Source organism: Homo sapiens, chromosome 17 (genome assembly GCF_000001405.40).
Source record: "Homo sapiens chromosome 17, GRCh38.p14 Primary Assembly".
Classification (NCBI taxonomy): domain Eukaryota; kingdom Metazoa; phylum Chordata; class Mammalia; order Primates; family Hominidae; genus Homo; species Homo sapiens.
Genome location: NC_000017.11, coordinates 3,564,543 through 3,587,039, shown reverse-complemented (window position 1 = coordinate 3,587,039; position 22,497 = coordinate 3,564,543). Strand labels below are relative to the sequence as shown.

The following is a 22,497-nucleotide window of genomic DNA, read 5'->3' as shown; positions in this document are numbered from 1 at the left end:
AGCCAGGACCACTAGTGGAAAGTAGAGAAGACCAAAGAAGAGGTATTCCCTACAGGCAGTGAGTCTCCATAGGCCTCTTGAGGCAGTAAGGAGTTTCCCATTCCCAAAGGCATTCAAGAAGACACTGATCAGGAACCTCTTTGAGGGAGCTTAAGTTTGGGGTGGGGGTTGGACTCGATGGCCTGAGGGAGGCTGGGATGATCTGATTTTGGCTCATCAGTCTCAGGGATACTTGAACTTATTTTTATTTTATTTTATTTTATATTTTGAGACAGAGTCTTGCTCTGTCACCCAGGTTGGAGTGCAATGGCGTGATCTCAGCTCACTGCAACTTCTGCTTCCTGGGGTTCAAGCAGTTCTCCCACCTCAGCCTCCCAAGTAGCTGGGATTACAGGCACCCACCACCATGCCTGGCTAATTTTTGTATTTTTGTAGAGAAGGAGTTTCACCACGTTGGCCAAGCTGGTCTTGAACTCCAGACTTCAAGTGATCCACCTGCCTCGGCCTCCCAGAGTGCTGGGATTACAGGCGTGAGCCACTACACCCGGCCTATTTGAACTTTATCAAAGTCTCTGGATATGAGACATTTGCCCCAAAGCATACTTGTAATGATGGCATGAGGCACTGGGCCCTCCTGGGGCAGGAAGGGCCTCCTAGTTCCCTGCCTCCCTGCCGCCCTGCCTGACCCAGGGCTGGAAACGTGAGAAGTGAGGACCCAGAGGCTCTTTCCTGCCTGCCCTGAGCCCCTCATGCCCAGGCTCTGCCTAAGCCAACTACTTCCCATTACTGTGGGCTCTCGGGAGGGAGTTATTAGACACAACGGGCAGTGCGGTGGGCCATTAAGTGAGCACTTAAGAGCTTGTCCAGTTTCACCCCATTCACTGCACCTCTGGGGACACTGAGGCCAAGAGGGCAGGTCCCTCCGTGAGCCGCGGCAGTGCTGGGACCAGCCCCAGGCTATGGCTGCCGGCTGGCTCAGACCTCCCATCTCACCTGCTCCGTGGGCTGAGGACTGTGCGGGCCACATGGCTGTGAGGGGCACCACGGGCTGGTGTGGGCGTGCGAGGAGTTCCTGCTGCAGGAGGGAACCTCACTTCTCTCCCCACCCCCTAGAATCGCCACGACATGCTCTTGGTGGAGCCGCTGAACCGACTCCTGCAGGACAAGTGGGACAGATTCGTCAAGCGCATCTTCTACTTCAACTTCCTGGTCTACTGCCTGTACATGATCATCTTCACCATGGCTGCCTACTACAGGCCCGTGGATGGCTTGGTGCGGCCAGAGGCTCAGGCCTCGTGGGCGAGGGTGTGGGTGGTGGGGAAGGGGTGTGGACATTTCGGGAGACCTCCCCGACCCCAGGCCCAGGCTCTGCCCTGGACTCCTTCCCAGCTTGCGGGAGCGATGGATGGAGAACGTGGAGAACCTCGTATCCCTGCGCCCATCTCCCCTGCCTCAGGCTGTACAGGAGACCCGCCCCCTTCCCGCTTCTCAGTTCCTCTCCTTTAACCTTGAGGTCCTGTGGGGCTGAGTGTGTGGTGACTCAGGTCCCTGATTGTAGACGGGGTGTACTCGGTTAGAAAGCATGCAGGGGCCGGGCATGGTGGCTCATGCCTGTAATCCCAGCACTTTGGGAGGCTGAGGTGGGCAGATCACCTGAGGTCTGGAGTTTGAGACCAGCCTGACCAACATGGTGAAACCCCGTCTCTACTAAAAACACCAAATTAACTGGGTGTGGTGGAGCCTGCCTGTAATCCCAGCTACTCAGGGAGGCTGAGACAGGAGAATCGCTTAAACCTTGGAGGCAGAGGTTGTGATGAGCTGAGATGGCACCACTGCACTCCAGGCTGGTCAACAAGAGTGAAACTCTGTCTCAAAAAAAAAAAAAGAAAAATCACGCAGGAATTTGGGCTCGGGACAGGGCTCACCCCTGGCCTGGGGGTCCCCAGGGATGTGGGCTGGTGTCTAAGCCCAGAGCCCACCATCATCCTGCTTGCCTGCCCTCTTTCATTCACTCACTTGCTCATTATTCATTCCCTGGATTTAGACTTTTGAGCAGCTCTGTGCCAGGCCCTGGGCCATCCATCAAATCAGCCTAAGACCAGCCTTTTTCCTCTGCCAAGAGCCAAGACTTCATCAAACTTCTGGACTTAGTCCTTCGTGTCTGATACCCAGGACACTTAATTTGCTGCTTTTGTTTCCAGGGCACTTTACAAGTTTACTTACTTACTTAATTTTTGTTTTTTTGAGATGGAGTCTCGCTCTATCACCCAGGCTGGAGTGCAGTGGCGCAATCTCTGCTCACTGCAACCTCCACCTCCCGGGTTCAAGTGACTCTTCTGCCTCGGCCTCCCGAATAGCTGGGACTACAGGCACCCACCAACATGCCAAGCTTATTTTTATATTTTTAGTAGAGATGGGATTTCACCGTATTGGCCAGGCTAGTCTTGAACTCCTGACCTCAAGTGATCGCCTGCCTCGGCCTCCCAAAGTGCTTGGATTACAGGTGTGAGCCACCGTGCCCGGCTGCACATTTACTTTAAAAACTCAACTTCATAATTGCATGAAACCCGATTTCTGTCCACCTATTAAGGCCACATAATGACTTCCTTTTTTTTTTATTTTATTTTTTTTTTTTTTGAGACAGAGTCTCTCTCTGTTTTCCAGGCTGGAGTGCAGTGGTGTGATCTCAGCTCACTGCAAGCTCTGCCTCCTGGGTTCACGCCATTCTCCTGCCTCAGCCTCCCTCTTTTTTTTTGTTTTTTGTTTTTTGTTTTTTGAGACAGAGTCTCGCTCTGTTGCCCAGGCTGGAGTGCAGTGGCGCCACCTTGGCTCACCGCAACCTCTGGCTCCGGGGTTCAAGTGATTCTTCTGTCTCCCAAGTAGCTGGGATTACAGCCATGAGCTACCACGCCTGGCTAATTTTGTATTTTTAGTAGAGATGGGGTTTCTCCATGTTGGTCAGGCTGGTCTCGAACTCTCGACCTCAGGTGATCCGCCCGCCTCGGCCTCCCAAAGTGCTGGGATTACAGGCGTGAGCCACTGCACCCGGCCAGTGACTTCTTTTTAAGAGAAAAATGTGCTGGTAAGGCAAGCTGATGAACTAGTGCTTAGGAAATGTGGATGGTGACCCACTCCAGGAAATGGCCACTGAAATACAAGGGTGACACCCACAAGTGTGTGTGGCACAGTCTCTCCCTCCATGGTCAGTGGGAGTCCCTGACACTCGTGGGAGACTGGCCATGGGCTGGGGTGGCAGCGGGATGTGTATGGCGTGGGGTCCATGAGAGTGCTTCCACCTCTCCATCACCCTGCTGTCCATCACTCTGCTCCCAGCCAGGAGGAGCTCTGGGCCTGCCGGGACATTGCTTGGGAGGCGGCACAGCATTGTAAGATGCTCCGCTTGGCACCTGCAGGCTGCCACTTTGGGGAATCAGGCCCACAGAGGGGCCTCCTTGCGGGCGCTCCCCTAATAACACACTGTCTTTGTGTGTCCTTCCCCTGATGGAGGCTGTGCCTCCTGGGCAGGGACTATGGCTTCATGGACCTGGTCCATGTTTGTTGAATGAACGAATGAGTAAATGGAGTTACCAACTTCTCTGCATCTCACAGCCTCCCTTTAAGATGGAAAAAACTGGAGACTATTTCCGAGTTACTGGAGAGATCCTGTCTGTGTTAGGAGGAGTCTACTTCTTTTTCCGAGGGGTAAGCGTTCCTTCCCACATTGTGAGTTTCCATTATCACCAAAACAAAAAGCCAAGAAGATCCCTCAGCGCTCACTCACTTTTTAATTCATCAGACACATCATAGCCCTACTTGGGGAGCTGAGAGACGCAGAGGTGAAGATGAGAGCCCTTCAGTCAGTCACCGCGGGGCGGGAGGGTGCTCAGGGCGTCTCCACAGGCCCAAGGCAGGCAAGCTTGAAAGTAGACACTCCAGCCACTCCACGGAACGGAGTATTTGATTACAGGGGCAGAGTGGAGGCCTCTTAAGTGATAGGATCATGACTGGTAGTTTTTTAATTAAACCAATCTGTTAAAGCTCTGAGCAGTGAAGGAAATCTCCTTGCATACTGGAATCTTTTTTTTTTTTTTTTGAGGTGGAGTTTCGCTTTGTCATCTAGGCTGGAGGCTAGTGGCACGATCTCGGCTCACTGCAACCTCCGCCTCTTGGGTTCAAAAAATTCTCCTGAGTAGCTGGGATTACAGGCGCCTGCCACCACAGCCGGCTAATTTTTTTGTATTTTTAGTAGAGGTGGGGTTTCACCATGTTGGCCAGGCTGGTCTCGAACTCCTGACCTCAGGTGATCCACCTGCCTCAGCCTCCCAAAGTGCTGGGATTACAGGCGTGAGCCACCACACCAGCAAGGAATTGTTTTATTTTTAACCTGAAACTCAAACATGTGCAATCCTTGGCCATTTTTTTTTTTTTTAATGCAGGAGTAATCTTTTCTTTGAATGTGGGACTCACTGTTTCAGATTTTACATCACCTTTCTTGCAAAAACCATATTTATATAATCTAAGATTTCTAGTTTCAGCTTCTTTAAAGAAGAGTGAGAACTTAGCTGCGTACAAAAAAGTCTGAATGTAGAATTTGAGATGATCATTGGTTTTTGTTTTTGTTTTTTTTGACTCTGGAAACCCTTGTAGTATTTTAATTTTAATTTTTATAAGATGGGGTCTTGCTGTGTCACCCAGGCTGGAGTGCAGTGGCGTGATCGTGGCTCACTTCAACCTCTGTCTCCTGGGCTCAAGCAATCCTCCCACCTCAGCCTCTGGAGTAGCTGGAACTACAGGAAGCCATCACCATGCCCAGGCTCCACTGTGATTTTTTTTTTTTTTTTTTTTTTTTTGAGATGGAGTCTCACTCTTTCGCCCAGGCTGGAGTGCAGTGGCACAATCTCCACTCACTGCAAGCTCCGCCTCCTGGGTTCACGCCATTCTCCTGCCTCAGCCTCCCGAGTAGCTGGGACTACAGGCACCCGCCACCACGCCCGGCTAATTTTTTGTATTTTTAGTAGAGACGGGGTTTCACCGTGTTAGCCAGGATGGTCTCGATCTCCTGACCTCGTGATCCGCCCACCTTGGCCTCCCAAAGTGCTGGGATTACAGGTGTGAGCCACTGTGCCTGGCCCCATTGTGATTTTTTTTTTTTTCTGAGATGGAGTCTCGCTTAGTTGCCCAGGCTGGAGTGCAGTGGTGTGATCTTGGCTCACTGCAACCTCCACCTCCTGGGTTCAAGTGATTCTCCTGCCTCAGCCTCCCGAGTAGCTGGGACTACAGGTGCGTGCCACCGCGCCCGGCTAATTTTTGTATTTTTAGTAGAGACGGGGTTTCACCATGTTAACCAGGATGGTCTCGGTCTCCTGACCTCGTGATCCGCCCGCCTCGGCCTCCCAAAGTGCTGGGATTACAGGCGTGAGCCACTGTGCCCAGCCTTCTATTGTGATTTTTATCCCCTAGTCTTTTTTGGTATAAGCTCTATCCAGTTTTTTTTTTCAGTCACTCACCTTTATGGAATTGTTCAGTCATTGAACTTCGTCTTCACAGAGACAACTGTCTTTCTTTTCACACTCATGGTTTACATTACAGTAAAGTACAGTGCCACAGTAGCAAGTGTGGCTGGAATGGCAAAAGCAGGATTGGCCTGTGGGAGGGAGCAGAAGGGTGGTGGTGTCTTGGACAGGACTCATGGCTGACAGTGGCGGCTTGTTACAAGAATTTTTATTTTAACGCTTACTTAAAATTAAGAAAAAAATATGCTCGGCATGTGAAAAATTAAGAAAAAGGTGGCTCACGCTTGTAATCCCAGCTACTTGGGAGGCTGAGGCCAGGAGTTTGAGACCAGCTTGGGCAACATAGTGAGACTCTGATCTCTTAAAAAAAAATTAGGAAAAAGCTCCAATTAGAAGAAAACAATTTGCCCAATTCAATACAGCAACTGATAACATTTTAATGATTTTCCTTCCTGTCTGTACTTCTGGGTATAGTTGTAAATCCACTGTGTAATTTTTTTTTTTTTTTTTGAGATGGAGTCTCGCTGTCACCCAGGCTGGAGTGCAATGGCCTGATCTTGGCTCACTGCAGCCTCTGCCTCCTGGGTTCAAGCGATTTTCTTGCCTCAGCCTCATGAGTAGCTGGGATTACAGGTGCCCGCCACCACGCGCAGCTAATTGTTTTGTATTTTTAGTAGAGACGGGATTTCACCATGTTGGCCAGGCTGGTCTCGAACTCCTAACCTCAGGTGATCCACCCGCCTTGGCCTCCCAAAGTGCTGGGATGACAGGCGTGAGCCACCATGCCCGGCTTCCACTGTGTATTTTTAACCATCTCTACTGACTGGGCCACCTAGTGTCACCCCATTGGCCTGACCCTTGCTGTTCTGCTCTTTTCACAATCTGTGCTTTCACACATTCGACCACCCCATCATGGTGCCATTTAGGAAGCATCTGAGTGCTCACCATTTAGCCACATCGAGCATTGCCTGGGATCTTACTCTCTCTGTTTACCTGCAGATTCAGTATTTCCTGCAGAGGCGGCCGTCGATGAAGACCCTGTTTGTGGACAGCTACAGTGAGATGCTTTTGTAAGTGACACTTTGACTCATTCCCAGTCCAGTCCCCAGGTGACCGCAATCAGTTCTCACTTGAGGTCTCACTCACGCCGGGCCTGGCACATAGTGGGACCTCAGTGAACATGCTGAGGGAATGACGGAAGGCACTGAATACATACTCGGGGGATGAATGAATACTGAGGGCCTGCTCTGTGCCAGGGGCCAGGGATCGAGAAACTGCCGTGACTTACAGTCCGAGTGAGACGGACCTTGTTCACCTTCCCACTCATTGTCCATCCATCTGCCATTCGAGGGGTTGGCCCTGGAATACTGGATGAAACAGACATGGCGCCCGCCTTTGGGGAGTTTCCTATCTTTAACGGGGGGTTGTGCGACCTTGGCACTGTTGATATTTTGGACTGGGTAGTGCTTAGTTGTGGTGGTTGGGGGGCGGGGCGGGGCGGGGGCTGCCCTGTGCATCGTAGAGTATATAGCAGCATCACCGGCCTCTACTCGCAGCTGCCTGGAGCTTCCCCATCCCCCAGTCGCCTGGAGCTTCCCCATCCCCCAGTCTTGACAATCAAGAACATTTCCAGATATGGCCAAAGGCCCCTCACTTGTTTTGGGGGGTGGTGCCGGAATCACTCCCGGTTGAGAACCACCGCTTTAGGAGGAAGCAGATGAGTGAAAGCACAGTTATAGAACAGTTTGGATGGCCGGGCGCAGTGGCTCACGCCTGTAATCCCAGCACTTTGGGAGGCTGAGGCGGGTGGATCACTTGAGGTCATGAGTTCAAGACCAGACTGGCCAACATGGTGAAACCCCGTCTCTACTAAAAATACAAAAATTAGGCAGGCATGGTGGCACGCACCTGTAATCCCAGCTACTCGGGAGGCTGAGGTGGGAGAATTGTTTGTACCCGGGAGACAGAGGTTGCAGTGAGCCCAGATCGCGCCATTGCATTCCAGCCTAGGTAACAGAGCGAGATTCCATCTCTAAATAAATAAATAGAACATTGTGGATGTGGCAGGAAACCTCCTTCCTTCAGAAAGTAAGCCAGAGCCTCAAGCCCCAGTGTGCACCGAGGGCCTTCCAGGACCTGTCTCCTGGGATCTCGGCTCACAGTCCCCGTCCTGATCTCTTCCTTCCTGGAAGAACAAGGAATAATTTCAAATCCTCTTGCAGCTAGCTTGTCCGTACGACTCACAAACCGCATCCTTTAACCCAATTTTTTTTTTTGGACAAGTAAAACTAGAATTAGCTTTATTTAACATGATTGTGAAAGGAACACTTATTTTAATTTTTTTAAAAGAATTTAGATTTCAGGGTACTTGTGCAGGTTTGTTAGGTGGGTATATTGTATGATGCTGAGGTCTGGGGGTCTAATGATCTGGTCACCCAAGTAGTGAACATAGTACCTGATAGGTAGTTTTTCAACCCTTGTCCCCCTCCCGGCTTCCCCACTTTTGGAATCCTAAGTGTTTGTTGTTCCCGTCTTTGTGCTTGTGGGTGCCCAGTGTTTTGCTCCACTTATAAGTAAGAACATGTGGGATTTGGTTTTCTGTTTCTGTGTTAATTTGCTTAGGATAATGGCCTCCAGCTACATCCATGTTGCTGCAAAGGACGTGATTTCATTCTTTTTTATGGCTGCATAGTATTCCATGGTATATACGTACCACTTTTTGATTATCCAGTCTACCATTGATGGGCACCTGGATTGATTCCATGCTTTGCTATTGTGAATAGTGCTTTGATAAACACAGGAGTGCAGGCATCTTTTTGGTAGAATGGGTTCTTTTCCTCTGTTTTCCCCCTAATCTTGAGATACCTATACTTTAGCCCCGAAAGGCAAACTCAAGAGGCAAGGTCTGTAGGTTTACCACACTGATTTACCTGCCTAAGAGAAGCAGTTTTCTACATAGCATTGTGATTCTCCTGCCTCAGTGTCCCCAGTAGCTGGGATTAGAGGGGTGCACCTTGCCCAGGTAATTTTCATATTTTTAGTAGAGACAGGGTTTCACTGTGTTGGCCAGGCTGGTCTTGAACTCCTGACCTCAAGTGATCTGCCTCCCAAAGTTCTGGGATGACAGGTGTGAGCCATCACGCCTGGCCACTATATATCCTTTTATGTACTTTTTATTTATTTATTTATTTGTTTATTTATTTGTTTATTTATTTATTTGAGACGGAGTCTCGCTCTGTCTCCCAGGCTGGAGTGCAGTGGCATGATCTTGGCTCACTGTAACCTCCGCCTCCCGGGTTCAGGTGATTCTCCTGCCTCAGCCTCCTGAGTAGCTGGGATTACAGGCGTGCACCACCATGCCTGGCTAAATTTTTTTTTGTATTTTTAGTAGAGGTGGGGCTTCACCATGTTGGTCAGGCTGGCCTCGAACTCCTGACCTTGTGCTCCGCATGCCTCAGCCTCCCAAAGAGCTGGGATTAAAGGCGTGAGCTACTGCGCCTGGCCTTTAGGTACTATATTTATATCTGTGCTTTATACATAAAGAGTGAGATTTTGCACAGCTCCTCACCAAGCCAATTTCTGCTCCTTGGGGACGATGCTGCTTCCACGGAGAACGCCTGGGCTGAAAGAGTCAGGACAGCCCAACCCTAGCTCCTATTGCGGCCTGCAGTCTGGACCTCTGAGCGGCCTGTGACCTTTTGTTCTGGGGGTGCCAGGCCTCCTGGGTTCCCGTAGACGGAGCTTTCTGCCCCTCCACCCGCAGCTTTCTGCAGTCACTGTTCATGCTGGCCACCGTGGTGCTGTACTTCAGCCACCTCAAGGAGTATGTGGCTTCCATGGTATTCTCCCTGGCCTTGGGCTGGACCAACATGCTCTACTACACCCGCGGTTTCCAGCAGATGGGCATCTATGCCGTCATGATAGAGAAGGTGGGTTCCCTGGGCCCCAGTGGGTCTCCTCAGAGCCCGCTTACCTCGTGGTCATGTGAGATGGGGCCAAGAACTCCGCCCATCCTCTCTGTCGTGCCTGGGAAGGGGCTGGTTTACCCCCCAGCCTATTTTCCAAGAATCAAGCAATCTGGCCCTGACCCAGGTATGTGTAGGGGGGTCCCCTGAAACCTGACCCCCCCTGCACACCAGGCCTCCATCTCCCGACCAGAACAAAGGCTATGGGGGAAGGGTGGGTGACTCCCTCATGACCCCTGAGCTGAGAACCAGCAAAGCAAACCGCCCTGCACGTTCTCAAGACGCATCCCCAGGCCGATGCGGCCCGGCCCTTCCCTCAGCTCCTCCTGGGCCTGGCCTCGGCTCTGATGAGCCTGCTGTCTCCTGCAGATGATCCTGAGAGACCTGTGCCGTTTCATGTTTGTCTACATCGTCTTCTTGTTCGGGTTTTCCACAGGTAATGAGCTTGGTCAGCGCTGGGGGAGGGCAGGGGTCCTGCTTGGCTGAGCCTTCTGAAGACTCTGCCAGGAGCTGAATGAGAAGGCACTGGGTAGGCAGGTGCATGTCTGCAGGTGACTGAGAGGGTGGACAGAGGACACACTGAAATGAGCTCCAGGACTTGGCCACGTGTTATATAAAATGCTTTAAGAATTTTCCAGGCTGGAAGTGCTGTGGCTGCCACATAGCATTTTGGCTCAGTTGTTTTTTCAACTTTTTTTTTTTTTTTTTTTTTTGAGATGGAGTCTCACTCTGTCGCCAAGGCTGGAGTGCAGTGGCACGACCTTGGCTCACTGCAACCTCTGCCTCCTGGGTTCAAGCAATTCTCCTACCTCAGCCTCCCAAGTAGCTGGGATTACAGGCGCCCACGACCATGCCCGGCTAGTTTTTATGCATATATATATATATATATATATTTTTTTTTTTTTTTTCTCATACAGAGTCTAGCTCTCTTGCCCAGGCTGGCGTGCAGTGGCGCGATCTCGGCTCACTGGAGGCTCCGCCTCCCGGGTTCACGCCATTCTCCTGCCTCAGCCTCCCGAGTACCTGGGACTACAAGTGCCTGCTACCACGCCTGGCTAATTTTTTGTATTTTTAGTAGAGATGGGGTTTCACCATGTTAGCCAGGATGGTCTCGATCTCCTGACCTCGTGATCCGCCTGCCTCGGCCTCCCAAAGTGCTGGGATTACAGGCATGAGCCACTGCACCTGGCTAGTTGTTATATTTTTAATAGAGATGGGGTTTTACCATATTGGCCAGGCTGGTCTCAAACTCCTGACCTGAGGTGATCCACCCACCTTGGCCTCCCAAAGTGCTGGGATTACAGGCATGAGCCACAGTGCCTGGCCATTAATTATTTTTTGAGACAGAGTCTCATGCTGTTGCCCAGGCTGGAGTGCAGTGGCGCCATCTCAGCTCACTACAACCTCCACTTCCAGGGTTCAAGTGATTCTTGTGCCTCAGCCTCCCCAGTAGCTGGGATTACAGATGCCCGCCACCACACCTGGCTATTTTTTTTTTTTGTATTTTTAGTAGAGACGGGGTTTTGTCATGTTGGTCTTGAGCTCCTGACCTCAAGTGATCTGCCCGCCTCGGCTCCCAAAGTGCTAGGATGACAGGGTGAGCCACCGCGCCTGACCTTAGTCTTCTTTAATCCAGGGCACTTCCTGCATCATTCCTTGTCATTTGCGACCTCAGAATTTGTAATGAGTAGAGGCCAGTGGTTTTGACAATGTTTCTCAATTTGGGTGTGTCTGATGTTTCCTCACGATTATAGCCAGGCATGCATTTTTGGCCAGAATATCAAGAAGCCATGTGTGTCTTCTGCTGTGTGTTTTATTGGGAGTCACATGATGTCCGTCTCACTTCTGGTGACGTTAGCTTTGATGACTTGGTTTTGGTGGATCTGCCAGACTTTTCCACTGTAAAGCTACTATATTTACCTTTGTGATGGATACTTTTCAAGGAGATGCTTTGAAACTATGTGACTAGCCTGTTTCTCATCAGACTTTCACCAGGAGTTCTAGCATCCGTTGATGAGTCTTACCTGAATCACTTCATCCTGTGATGGTGGCCAAATGATGATTTTTTTTTTTTTTCTTGAGAAGGAGTCTCTGTCTGTCGCCCAGGCTGGCATGCAGTGGTGCCATCTCTGCTCACTGCAACCTCGGCCTCCCAGGTTCAAGCAATTCTCCTGCCTCAGCCTTCCAGGTAGCTGGGATCACAGCTGCCCATCATCACGCCCGGCTAATTTTTATATTTTTAGTACAGATGGGGTTTTACCATGTTACTCAGGCTGGTCTCAAACTCCTGACCTCAGGTGATCCGCCTGCCTTGGCCTCCCGAAGTGCTGGGATTACAGGCATGAGCCACCACACCCAGAGAAGATGATCTTCTAACTCCATCATTGCTTCTGCATTTATTACCTGGCATTCTGTTATAGAGAAGAGCTAACCATTCCCCATTTCTATGTATTTGTTTGTATCAGAATGGCCTCATGGAGTCTTTTGTTTTCATGGATTCTCACTTTGTTAAATGGGTTATAATCCTTACTATCCTCTTTTATTTTAATACTCAAATTGTCTGAGATTAGTCACTGGAGTCCCTTCCAGCTGGCTCCTGTGCTCTTTTCACATGTCCACATCTTTTTTTTTTTTTTTTTTTTTTGAGATAGAGTCTCGTTCTGTCGCCCAGGCTGGAGTGCAGTGGCGCGATCTGCAAACTCTGCCTCCCAGGTTCAAGCAATTCTCCTGCCTCAGCCTCCCAAGTAGCTAGGATAATCCCAACCTGGCTATTTTTAGTAGAGACGGGTTTCACCCTGTTGGCCAGGCTGGTCTCAAACTCCTGACCTCAGGTGATCCGCCTGCCTCAGCCTCCCAAAGTGCTGGGATTACAGGCGTGAGCCACCATGCCCGGCCTCCACATCATTTTTTGAGCACTGGACTCTGCTTTGATGCTCATCCGAGTCCCACAGTTACGTGGTTCACATGGTGCACCCTCCCTGTCCCCACCCTGCCGTTTGCGTTGGAATCCCTGGCTGGGAGGGATGGGCACCTGTGACTAAGAGAGACCTAATAGGTGTGGGCTCTGGCACCTGGATCTGAAGGCCCTGCATTTCAGTAGGTACAGGAAGGGACTAGGCCGGGGGGGTTTGTGGATACTGATAGGCAGCAACCACGATGCACAGCTGCTGCAGAGGCTCTCAGGCTCTGGGCCACACTTCCCACAGAAGCAGGCAGCATGTGGGGAGAGGTCATTCTGCTCTGAGCGGCTCAGTGCTCATGGAGCAAAATGGACCTCTGAGGGATGCAGGCCAACAGGGTGTGATGGACAAAGCAGGTGTGGGGCCAGAGCTGACACGTATGGTTAAGCAGGTTGTGCACTGTACAAAGGTGGCTGTATTCACATTGCACATAGAGACTTATATATTTATTTATTTTTCTAGCAGATGATGATAAAGTTCTTAAAAATATACTATGAAAATTTTTTTGATAGTTTTAAAGAAGGGATGCTTTAAAAATAACTTGTCACAAAGTTATTTGAGACTGACTGAGCAGGAGGGTGTATGTCAGGGGACTTGGGATATTGGCTTCTATCCAGTGGCACCCCGCCCTCCCTGTGCCCTGTAGCGGTGGTGACGCTGATTGAAGACGGGAAGAATGACTCCCTGCCGTCTGAGTCCACGTCGCACAGGTGGCGGGGGCCTGCCTGCAGGCCCCCCGATAGCTCCTACAACAGCCTGTACTCCACCTGCCTGGAGCTGTTCAAGTTCACCATCGGCATGGGCGACCTGGAGTTCACTGAGAACTATGACTTCAAGGCTGTCTTCATCATCCTGCTGCTGGCCTATGTAATTCTCACCTACATCCTCCTGCTCAACATGCTCATCGCCCTCATGGGTGAGACTGTCAACAAGATCGCACAGGAGAGCAAGAACATCTGGAAGCTGCAGGTGGGTGGGTGGAGTTGGGGGGTGGTGAGTGGCGCGGAGAGTGTGGGCGGCTCTGTCTGCTGTCTTACACAGCTGGCTGCAGGTGGGTGGGTGGTGGGGGCGGTGTGTGGCCAGGAGGGTATGGGCCTCTCTATCCGCTGCCTTACCCAGCTGGGCACATGAGCCCTGCAGGATTTGAGGAGGGAGCAGAAAGCCCGGCCAGGCCCGGGGATCCAGCCTCAGCACCTCCCTCAGTGGACTTCCAGCAAGTTCCCCTGCCCAGCACCTGCTCAGGGGCAGATGAGCTCAGCTGGTGTTTATAGACACCGTGCTTGGCTGTGGTCTGGGTGGTCCTGGAGGGAAGAAGGGGGAGGGCTCAGCCCGACAGGGTGTCCACCTCAGAGGAGCCTGGTGTAAGGTGGGCACCAGAGGCCAGACTCAGGGGAGCAGCTACCATGAGGCAGGGCCCTGACAGCTACATTTCTGGCCCCGTGGGCCACATCTGCATCCCCAACTACTAATAATAAGTTTCGTTCTTATGAAGAAGCACTTTCTCTGTGATAGGGACTGTACTAAGTGTCTGTCTCACCTGATCTCATTTAATCCTCACAACAGTCCTGTGAAGTGGATTCTATTACTGTTCCTTTTTTTTTTTTTTTTTTTTTTTTTCTGAGATGGAGTCTTACTCTGTCACCCAGGCTGGAGTGCATTGGCATGATCTTGGCTGACTGCAACCTCTGCCTCCCGACTTCAAGCGGTTCTTCTGCCTCAGCCTCCCTAGTAGCTGGGATTGCAGGCACCCACCACCACACCCAGCTAATTTTTGTATTTTTAGTAGAGATGGGGTTTCACCATGTTGGCCAGGCTGGTTTTGAACTCCTGACCTCAGGTGATCTGCCTGCCTTGGCCTCCCAAAGTGCTGGGATCACAGGCGTGAGCCACTGTGCCTGGCTATACTGTTCCGTTTTTGAATGAATGAGGCACTGAGGCGTAGTGAAGTTAGGTATCTGTGCTCAAGGCCACATGGCTGGTAAGTGGCAGAGCCAGGACCTGGCCCAGGCAGTCTCACTCGTGGCCCTGCTCTCAGCCCTACCCTATGTTGCCCCTTGTGAGCTCCTCAGGGCAGGGTCTGGGGCCTCCGTATCACTCCCGGGGCTGCCCTGCCCAGGCCCGGCAGGCACCAGTGGCACCTGGACAGGTCTGGGCTGGCTGGGCTGTGCCCCTTGTATACAGTGTACCCCCGCCAGGCTACAGAAACAAAGCTAGCGTGGAGGGCACTGGACAACCACCCTGGAGGCATCTAGGCCTGGGAGAGCCCCTGGGGAGCTGGATACTGGCAGCCAGGGTGGCCCCGGGATGCACCCTCTGCCCCTCAGCTCCTCTGCCCTTGGTGTCTTCCTGCAGAGAGCCATCACCATCCTGGACACGGAGAAGAGCTTCCTTAAGTGCATGAGGAAGGCCTTCCGCTCAGGCAAGCTGCTGCAGGTGGGGTACACACCTGATGGCAAGGACGACTACCGGTGGTGCTTCAGGTAATGCCCAGGCTCCACCTGAATCAGGGCTTGGGAGCTTTGGGGCTCACCTGTGGACACAGAGCCTGCCTCAGGGCCTCCATGAGGGGCTGGTCATGAGCACAGGGGGCTCTCCCAATGCCAGCTGTAGGGATTGGGGCCGTCCTGAGCTCAGCTGTGGGCGTGCACAGGGGACCATCTTAGATCTCATCTGGTGGGGCCCAGACACTAAATTCTGGAAAATTCGAGGTGTCCAGAAGGGGCCGTCTAGTGAGCAGCGTCAGAGCCTGGCATCCAATATGTGAAGTCCCCCTGGGCCTCACAGTGTGCTCAGAGATCACATCTTTGAGGATGGTGTCCAAAAATCAAGTCCTCTCTGCCCTCCCCGACCCACCACATCTCCATCCTGATGGGTGGGTTTCTTGGGCTTGGCCTGTGGGCAGAGCCCTTGGCCCGGGAAGCTGGGCACAGCTCTCAGGCTCTCCCGACCCCTTACCCTGCAGGGTGGACGAGGTGAACTGGACCACCTGGAACACCAACGTGGGCATCATCAACGAAGACCCGGGCAACTGTGAGGGCGTCAAGCGCACCCTGAGCTTCTCCCTGCGGTCAAGCAGAGGTGAGGCGTGAGGGCCGGTGCTTGGCGCCTCCTTGGCTGGTGGCCTGATGTTGGGCAGGGGGAGCTTTGCAGGTTCCCCACGCCTTGCCGGGTTCCTCATCCCCCCAGGACCCGGGCGCTGTGGCAGCTCCTGACGTCGGCCATGAGCACATAGTCACGGGCTGACTTGAGCACCTCACTCATGCTGTCACGGCTGACGGCTGATGGCTGACGGCTCACTGGGCCCGTGCAGGCGGCTGTGCCAGCACCTCCAGCCCAGGCACCTGTCCTCAGCGCCCCAGGGGACGCAGCCCAGCCCCGCCCTGCCTCCTTGTATGGGCTGCCCTGCCTCCTCAGCCCTGTTCCTCACTCTGCACGTGTGCATGCGACGTCCTAGCTCTGAGAGGCTGTGCGGACACAAACAGGCAGACGGGAACACTTGTCACTCATGGACACATCTGGGCAGGTGGAGAAGAGGGGAGGGTGAGAAGAAGAAAGGGGATGCCTTGAGCAGAAAAACCCCAAGGAGGCCGGGCACAGTGGCTCACGCCTGTCATCCCAGCACTTTGGGAGGCTGAGACGGGTGGATCACCTGAGGCCGGGAGTTTGAGACCAGCTTGGCCAACATCGTGAAACCCCATCTCTACTAAAAAAAATACAAAAATTAGCCAGGCATGGTGGCAGGCACCTGTAATCCCAGCTACTCGGGAGGCTGAAGCAGGAGAATCGGTTGAACCTGGGAGGCGGAGGTTGCAGTGAGCCGAGATCGCACCACTACACTCCAGCCGGGGCAACAGAACGAGACTCTGTCTCAAAAAAAAGAACAAATAGAAAAACCCTGAGAAAAATTACTACCAGAAAGAAAGCTGTTTAACAGTTACTGGTAAACATTTAATAGAAAACATTAAATAAATGTCTAATTGAGGACGTTTACCTAGAAATGAAAGAGGCATAGTTTATAGTGGACAAATTTTGAGTTATAATTACAACCCTGAACACTTTGTTTTTGAATTACTTTGTATTTAATTGTAAAAAATTGTGGTAAAATATCTATCTCCTAAAACTTGCCATTTAAATCCTTTTGAAGTGTACAGTTTAGTGTCATTAAGTACATTTACATTATTGTACAACACTCACCACTATCTATTTCCAGAACTTTTTTTTTTTTTTTTCCTGAGATGGAGTCTCACTCTGTTGCCCAGGCTGGAGTGCAGTGGCGTGATCTGGGTTTACTGCACCCTCCGCCTCCCGGGTTCAAGCGATTCTCCTGCCTCAGTCTCCCGAGTAGCTGGGATTACAGGTGCCTGCCACCACGCCCGGCTCATTTTTGTATTTTTATAGTAGAAACGGGTTTTCACCATGTTGGCCAGGTTGGTCTCCTGACCTCAGGTCATCCCAAAGTGCTGGGATGACAGGTGTGAGCCACCATGCCGGGCCTTTTTCCAGAACATTTTAATCATCCCACACGGAAACTCTGTGCCCTTAAAACAACTCCATGACCCCTCCTTCCTGACCGCTTGGCCCCTCCTCCCTGACCGCTTGGCCCCTCCTCCCTGACCGCTTGGCCCCTCCTCCCTGACCCCTTGGCCCCTCCTCCCTGACCCCTTGGCCCCTCCTCCCTGACCACTTGGCCCCTGGCCCCTAACCCCTTGGCCCCTATTCTGTTTTCTATCTTTATGAAAGTGGGACAGAGACGTTAAAGGTTGAGTAGTACTGGGGGCCTCAGAGGCCCAGAGACCTTCTTAACACCCTTTAAATACTCTGAGCCACTCTCTGATCACCCTCATGCAGTCACACCATGAGCTAGCACAGCTCAGCTCTTAGCAAGGACCTGTGGGGAACTCATCTGCCCCAAAGACTTCTGGGCTTCCACCCCCATGAATCCTTCCTCCTCTTCCCCTGTGCTCTGATCCACAGATTCTAGCTGCTTCCGCTGCCCAGCTTTTGATTTCTTCTTCTTTAACTCAAAGGCAATTCCATGCTCTTCTTAGACTGCAGCTCACCGCGTTGTAGTTGGGGAAATGTCCCTAGGCAGAAAGTTAGGGAGATCACAGGGCTCCCCTTGTGAATTTCACTTCTCTTGGGAATTGCAGTTTTTATTTATTTTATTTTATTTTTGAGATGGAGTCTTGCTGTGTTGCCCAGGCTGGAGTGCAGTGGCACGATCTTGGCTCACTGCAACCTCCGCCTTCTGGGTTCAAGTGATCCTCCCACCTCAGCCTCCTGAGTACCTGGGACTACAGGCGCCTGCCACTATACCCGGCTAATTTTTTTTTTTATTATACTTTAAGTTCTAGGGTACATGTGCACAACGTGCAGGTTTGTTACATATGTATACATGTGCCATGTTGGTGTGCTGCACCCATTAACTCGTCATTTACATTAGGTATATCTTCTAATGCTGTCCCTCCCCACTCCCCCAACCCCACAACAGGCCCCGGTGTGTGATGTCCCCCTTCCTGTGTCTGAGTGTTCTCATTGTTCAATTCCCACCTATGAGTGAGAACATGTGGTGTTTCGTTTTTTGTCCTTGCAATAGTTTGCTGAGAATGATGGTTTCCAGCTTCACCCATGTCCCTACAAAGGACATGAACTCATCATTTTGTTATGGCTGCATAGTATTCCACGGTGTATATGTGTACACCTGGCTAATTTTTGTATTTTTAGTAGAGACAGGGCTTCACCGTGTTGGCCAGGCTGGTCTCGAACTCCTGATCTCAGGTGATCTGCGCACCTTGGTCTCCCAAAGTGTTGGGATGACAGGTGCGAGCCACCGTGCCTTGCCTTTTTTTAATGTTTAATTTTAAAAAATCTTTAGCTGCTAAGTTGGTGTTATTTGAGGGACTGCCGTTTTTCACTGCCTGATGTCCTATCTCTGAAAAACGTTTGCTGCCTGTATGTTGCCTATTTTGTGATCGTTGACAGCACGATGGCTAGCCCAGTACTAGATACTCCATTATAGCTGGAAGCGAAAATCTATTTTATCAAAGGCTCATTTTTAGAAAACTGCTCGAGGGTTCCATTGGTTTTTCCACAGGCCTCCTGCGATCGTGTGATTTTCCTGTGAGTTTAGTTGGAAGCAATCCCTGCATCCTGTAATAATGCTTATTGATGATCTCTTTGTCAGTTGTTAACTGGTCTAACTTTGCCAGAGAGCTATTGAAAGATAGCTTTGCGTGTGATTTGAGTAGTTTTTCTTTTCTTTTCTTTTTTTTTTTTTTTTGAGACGGAGTCTGGCTCTGTCACCCAGGCTGGAGTGCAGTGGCGCAATCTTGGCTCACTGCAAGCTCCACCTCCCGGGTTCACGCCATTCTCCTGCTTCAGCCTCCCGAGTAGCTGGGACTACAGGCGCCCGCCACTACGCCCGGCTAATTTTTTGTATTTTTAGTAGAGACGGGGTTTCACCATGTTAGCCAGGATGGTCTCGATCTCCTGACCTCGTGATCCGCCCGCCTCGGCCTCCCACAGTGCTGGGATTACAGGCGTGAGCCACCGCGCCCGGCCTTGAGTAGTTTTTCAATGTCACTCTTGTTGATTTAGTGACATCCTACATCTTTGACAAGATTTGCTATTTCACTTGGCAGTTGATTTGTATTATGTTTGCATGACAGTGTTGGCGGTTTACAACACTGCACATTCACTGTGATATTTATAAAGACATTGACCCAGTGGCAGGGGTATACACACCCATGTTAACTGGGGCAGGGATGGGGGATGGTTGGAGGTTGCCTGATGTCACCTTTATAATTTTTTTCTTTTTTTTTTTTTTGAGACAGAATCTTGTTCTGTCGCCCAGGCTGTCACCCAGTGGGCCTGGACCCCAGATCCTGCCTCTTTGGCTGGTGCTCGTCACCCAGAGCTGCCCTGGTGTTGAGCCACTCACAGGACAGGCCTCGGCGTTGCTCTGTGGAGACCCTCTCTCCCTCCCGCTGGGGCAGGGAGGAGATGGAGGCCGAGAGGGGCAGGCGATGGGCTCTCCTGAGGCTGCAAGCAAGTCGGGGTGGGATGGAGGAAGAGAATTTAAGGAACAGCGAGAGTGCATGAGGCTCTTTGAGTAGTTGAGGGAGGAGGACATTGCACCGATCCAGGTGCCTCAGGAAGCACTCGCATGCCTGGGCCTCGTTTTTTCTTTCTTTCTTTCTTCTTCTTCTTCTTTTTTTTTTTTTTTTTTTTTTGAGACGGAGTTTTGCTCTTTTCGCCCAGGCTGGAGTGCAGTGGCACGATCTCGGCTCACTGCAGCCTGTGCCTCCCAGGTTCAAGTGATTCTCCTGCCTCAGCCTCCCAAGTACTGGGGTTACAGGCATGTGCCACTATGCCCGGCCAATTTTTTTTTTTTTTTTTGTATTTTTAGTAGAGATGGGGTTTCACCATGTTGTCCGGGCTGGTCTTGAACTCCTGACCTCAGGTGATCCACCTGCCTCGGCCTCCCAAAGTGCTGGGATTACAGGCATGAGCCATCGTGCCTGTCTTGGACCTCCTTTTATCTGGAGACTTGGGAGGCCAAGAAGTGAATGTTTGTTTTGTTGCATCCAAGGTAGTAATAGTGTTACCCTTCAGTTTCAGGCAGACACTGGAAGAACTTTGCCCTGGTCCCCCTTTTAAGAGAGGCAAGTGCTCGAGATAGGCAGTCTGCTCAGCCCGAGGAAGTTTATCTGCGACAGTTTTCAGGGTCTCTGAAGCCAGAGGACGCTGAGGTCTTCAAGAGTCCTGCCGCTTCCGGGGAGAAGTGAGGACGTCACGCAGACAGCACTGTCAACACTGGGCCTTAGGAGACCCCGTTGCCACGGGGGGCTGCTGAGGGAACACCAGTGCTCTGTCAGCAGCCTGGCCTGGTCTGTGCCTGCCCAGCATGTTCCCAAATCTGTGCTGGACAAGCTGTGGGAAGCGTTCTTGGAAGCATGGGGAGTGATGTACATCCAACCGTCACTGTCCCCAAGTGAATCTCCTAACAGACTTTCAGGTTTTTACTCACTTTACTAAACAGTTTGGATGGTCAGTCTCTACTGGGACATGTTAGGCCCTTGTTTTCTTTGATTTTATTCTTTTTTTTGAGACAGAATTTCACTCTTCTCACCCAGGCTGGAATGCAGTGGCACAATTTTGGCTCCCTGCAACCTCCGCCTCCTGGATTCCAGCAATTCTCCTGCCTCGGCTTCCCAAGTAGCTGGGATTACAGGCACGTGCCACCATGTCTGGCTAATTTTTTGTATTTTTTTAATAGATATGGGGTTTCGCCATGTTGGCCAGGCTGGTCTCGAACTCCTGACCTCAGGTGATCCGCCCACCTCGGCCTCCCAAAGTGCTGGGATTACAGGTGTGAGCCTCCACACCTGGCTGTTTTCTTTGATTTTATTCTTTTTTTTTTTTTCTGTGAGACAGAGTTTCACTCTTGTTGCCCAGGCTGGAGTGCAGTGGTGTGATCTTGGCTCACTGCAACTTCTGCCTCCCGGGTTCAAGCGATTCTTCTGCTTCAGTCTCCCAAGTAGCTTGGATTACAGGTGAGCACTACCACGCCCGGCTAATTTTTGTATTTTTAATAGAGACGGGGTTTCACCATGTTGGCCAGGCTGGTCTCGAACTCTTGACCTCAGGTGATCTGCCCGCCTTGGCCTCCCAAAGTGCTGGGATTACAGGTGTGAGCCGCTGCGCTCGGCCTTCTTTGATTTTATATTATTAGGAGCAAAAGTAAATGAAGCCCAGGAAAACACCTTTGGGAACAAACTCTTCCTTTGATGGAAAATGCAGAGGCCCTTCCTCTCTGTGCCGTGCTTGCTCCTCTTACCTGCCCGGGTGGTTTGGGGGTGTTGGTGTTTCCTCCCTGGAGAAGATGGGGGAGGCTGTCCCACTCCCAGCTCTGGCAGAATCAAGCTGTTGCAGCAGTGCCTTCTTCATCCTTCCTTACGATCAATCACAGTCTCCAGAAGATCAGCTCAATTGCTGTGCAGGTTAAAACTACAGAACCACATCCCAAAGGTACCTGGTAAGAATGTTTGAAAGATCTTCCATTTCTAGGAACCCCAGTCCTGCTTCTCCGCAATGGCACATGCTTCCACTCCATCCATACTGGCATCCTCAAATAAACAGATATGTATACATATATATCGTGTCAAGTGTAAAGTTTGTGGCAGGAAATGGGCTGGCATAGCTAATTGGCTCTGTGTAGGCTGCTTGTGGATGCGTGTGTATACACATGGGGGTGTGTGTGTGGGTGTGTGCATGCATGCATGTTTGTGTGTGTGTGTGTGTACGTGTGTGTACATTCCTATGGTTGCATTCCTGCTATAATGCAGAAGGGAATAGTTGCAACAGAGACCAAATAGTTTGCAAAGCCTAAAATATAAGCTTACCTAAAATATAAAAAGCTTACCTAAAATATAAAAAACATACTATCTGGCCCTTTACAGAAGAGTTTGCTGACTCTTCCTTTGTAGAATAGAGCTTAAGAAACAGATACTCTACTCTGCTCTCCCTCTCCCTCTCCCTCTCCCTCTCCCTCTCCCTCTCCCCATGGTCTCCCTCTCCCGATGGTCTCCCTCTCCCTCTCTTTCCACGGTCTCCCTCTCATGCCGAGCCGAAGCTGGACTGTACTGCTGCCATCTCGGCTCACTGCAACCTCCCTGCCTGATTCTCCTGCCTCAGCCTGCCCAGTGCCTGCGATTGCAGGCGCGCGCCGCCACGCCTGACTGGTTTTCGTATTTTTTTGGTGGAGACGGGTTTCGCTGTGTTGGCCGGGCTGGTCTCCAGCTCCTAACCGCGAGTGATCCGCCAGCCTCGGCCTCCCGAGGTGCCGGGATTGCAGACGGTGTCTGGTTCACTCAGTGCTCAATGGTGCCCAGGCTGGAGTGCAGTGGCGTGATCTCGGCTCACTACAACCTCCACCTCCCAGCCGCCTGCCTTGGCCTCCCAAAGTGCAAAGCTTGCAGCCTCTGCCTGGCCGCCCATCGTCTGGGATGTGAGGAGCCCCTCTGCCTGGCTGCCCCGTCTGGAAAGTGAGGACTGTCT

The 22,497-nt window shown here is 51.4% G+C and overlaps 1 protein-coding gene across 4 annotated transcripts in view, besides 1 other annotated feature; it reads left to right on the top strand.

Annotated features, from left to right (window-relative positions):
* Positions 1-21,594, top strand: part of TRPV1 (transient receptor potential cation channel subfamily V member 1) — a 43,966-nt gene extending 22,372 nt beyond the window's left edge. For all 4 annotated transcript variants that reach the window (NM_080704.4, NM_018727.5, NM_080705.4 and 1 more), the window contains 9 exons: positions 1,114-1,272; positions 3,610-3,702; positions 6,513-6,583; positions 9,277-9,442; positions 9,848-9,914; positions 13,085-13,407; positions 14,791-14,918; positions 15,401-15,516; positions 20,053-21,594. In NM_080704.4, coding sequence (NP_542435.2) covers positions 1,114-1,272; positions 3,610-3,702; positions 6,513-6,583; positions 9,277-9,442; positions 9,848-9,914; positions 13,085-13,407; positions 14,791-14,918; positions 15,401-15,516; positions 20,053-20,225 — 1,296 coding nt within the window. In that variant the 3' untranslated portion in view covers positions 20,226-21,594. The remainder of the gene's footprint in view (positions 1-1,113; positions 1,273-3,609; positions 3,703-6,512; positions 6,584-9,276; positions 9,443-9,847; positions 9,915-13,084; positions 13,408-14,790; positions 14,919-15,400; positions 15,517-20,052) is intronic.
* Positions 10,843-12,042: an enhancer, noted in NCBI's record as "CDK7 strongly-dependent group 2 enhancer chr17:3478292-3479491 (GRCh37/hg19 assembly coordinates)". NCBI's record gives its function as "activates an origin of replication core promoter dependent on BRD2, BRD4, P300/CBP, MED14 and CDK7 cofactors, with strong dependence on CDK7, by STARR-seq in HCT116 cells {active_cell/tissue: HCT116}" and the evidence as "EXISTENCE:reporter gene assay evidence [ECO:0000049][PMID:35650434]".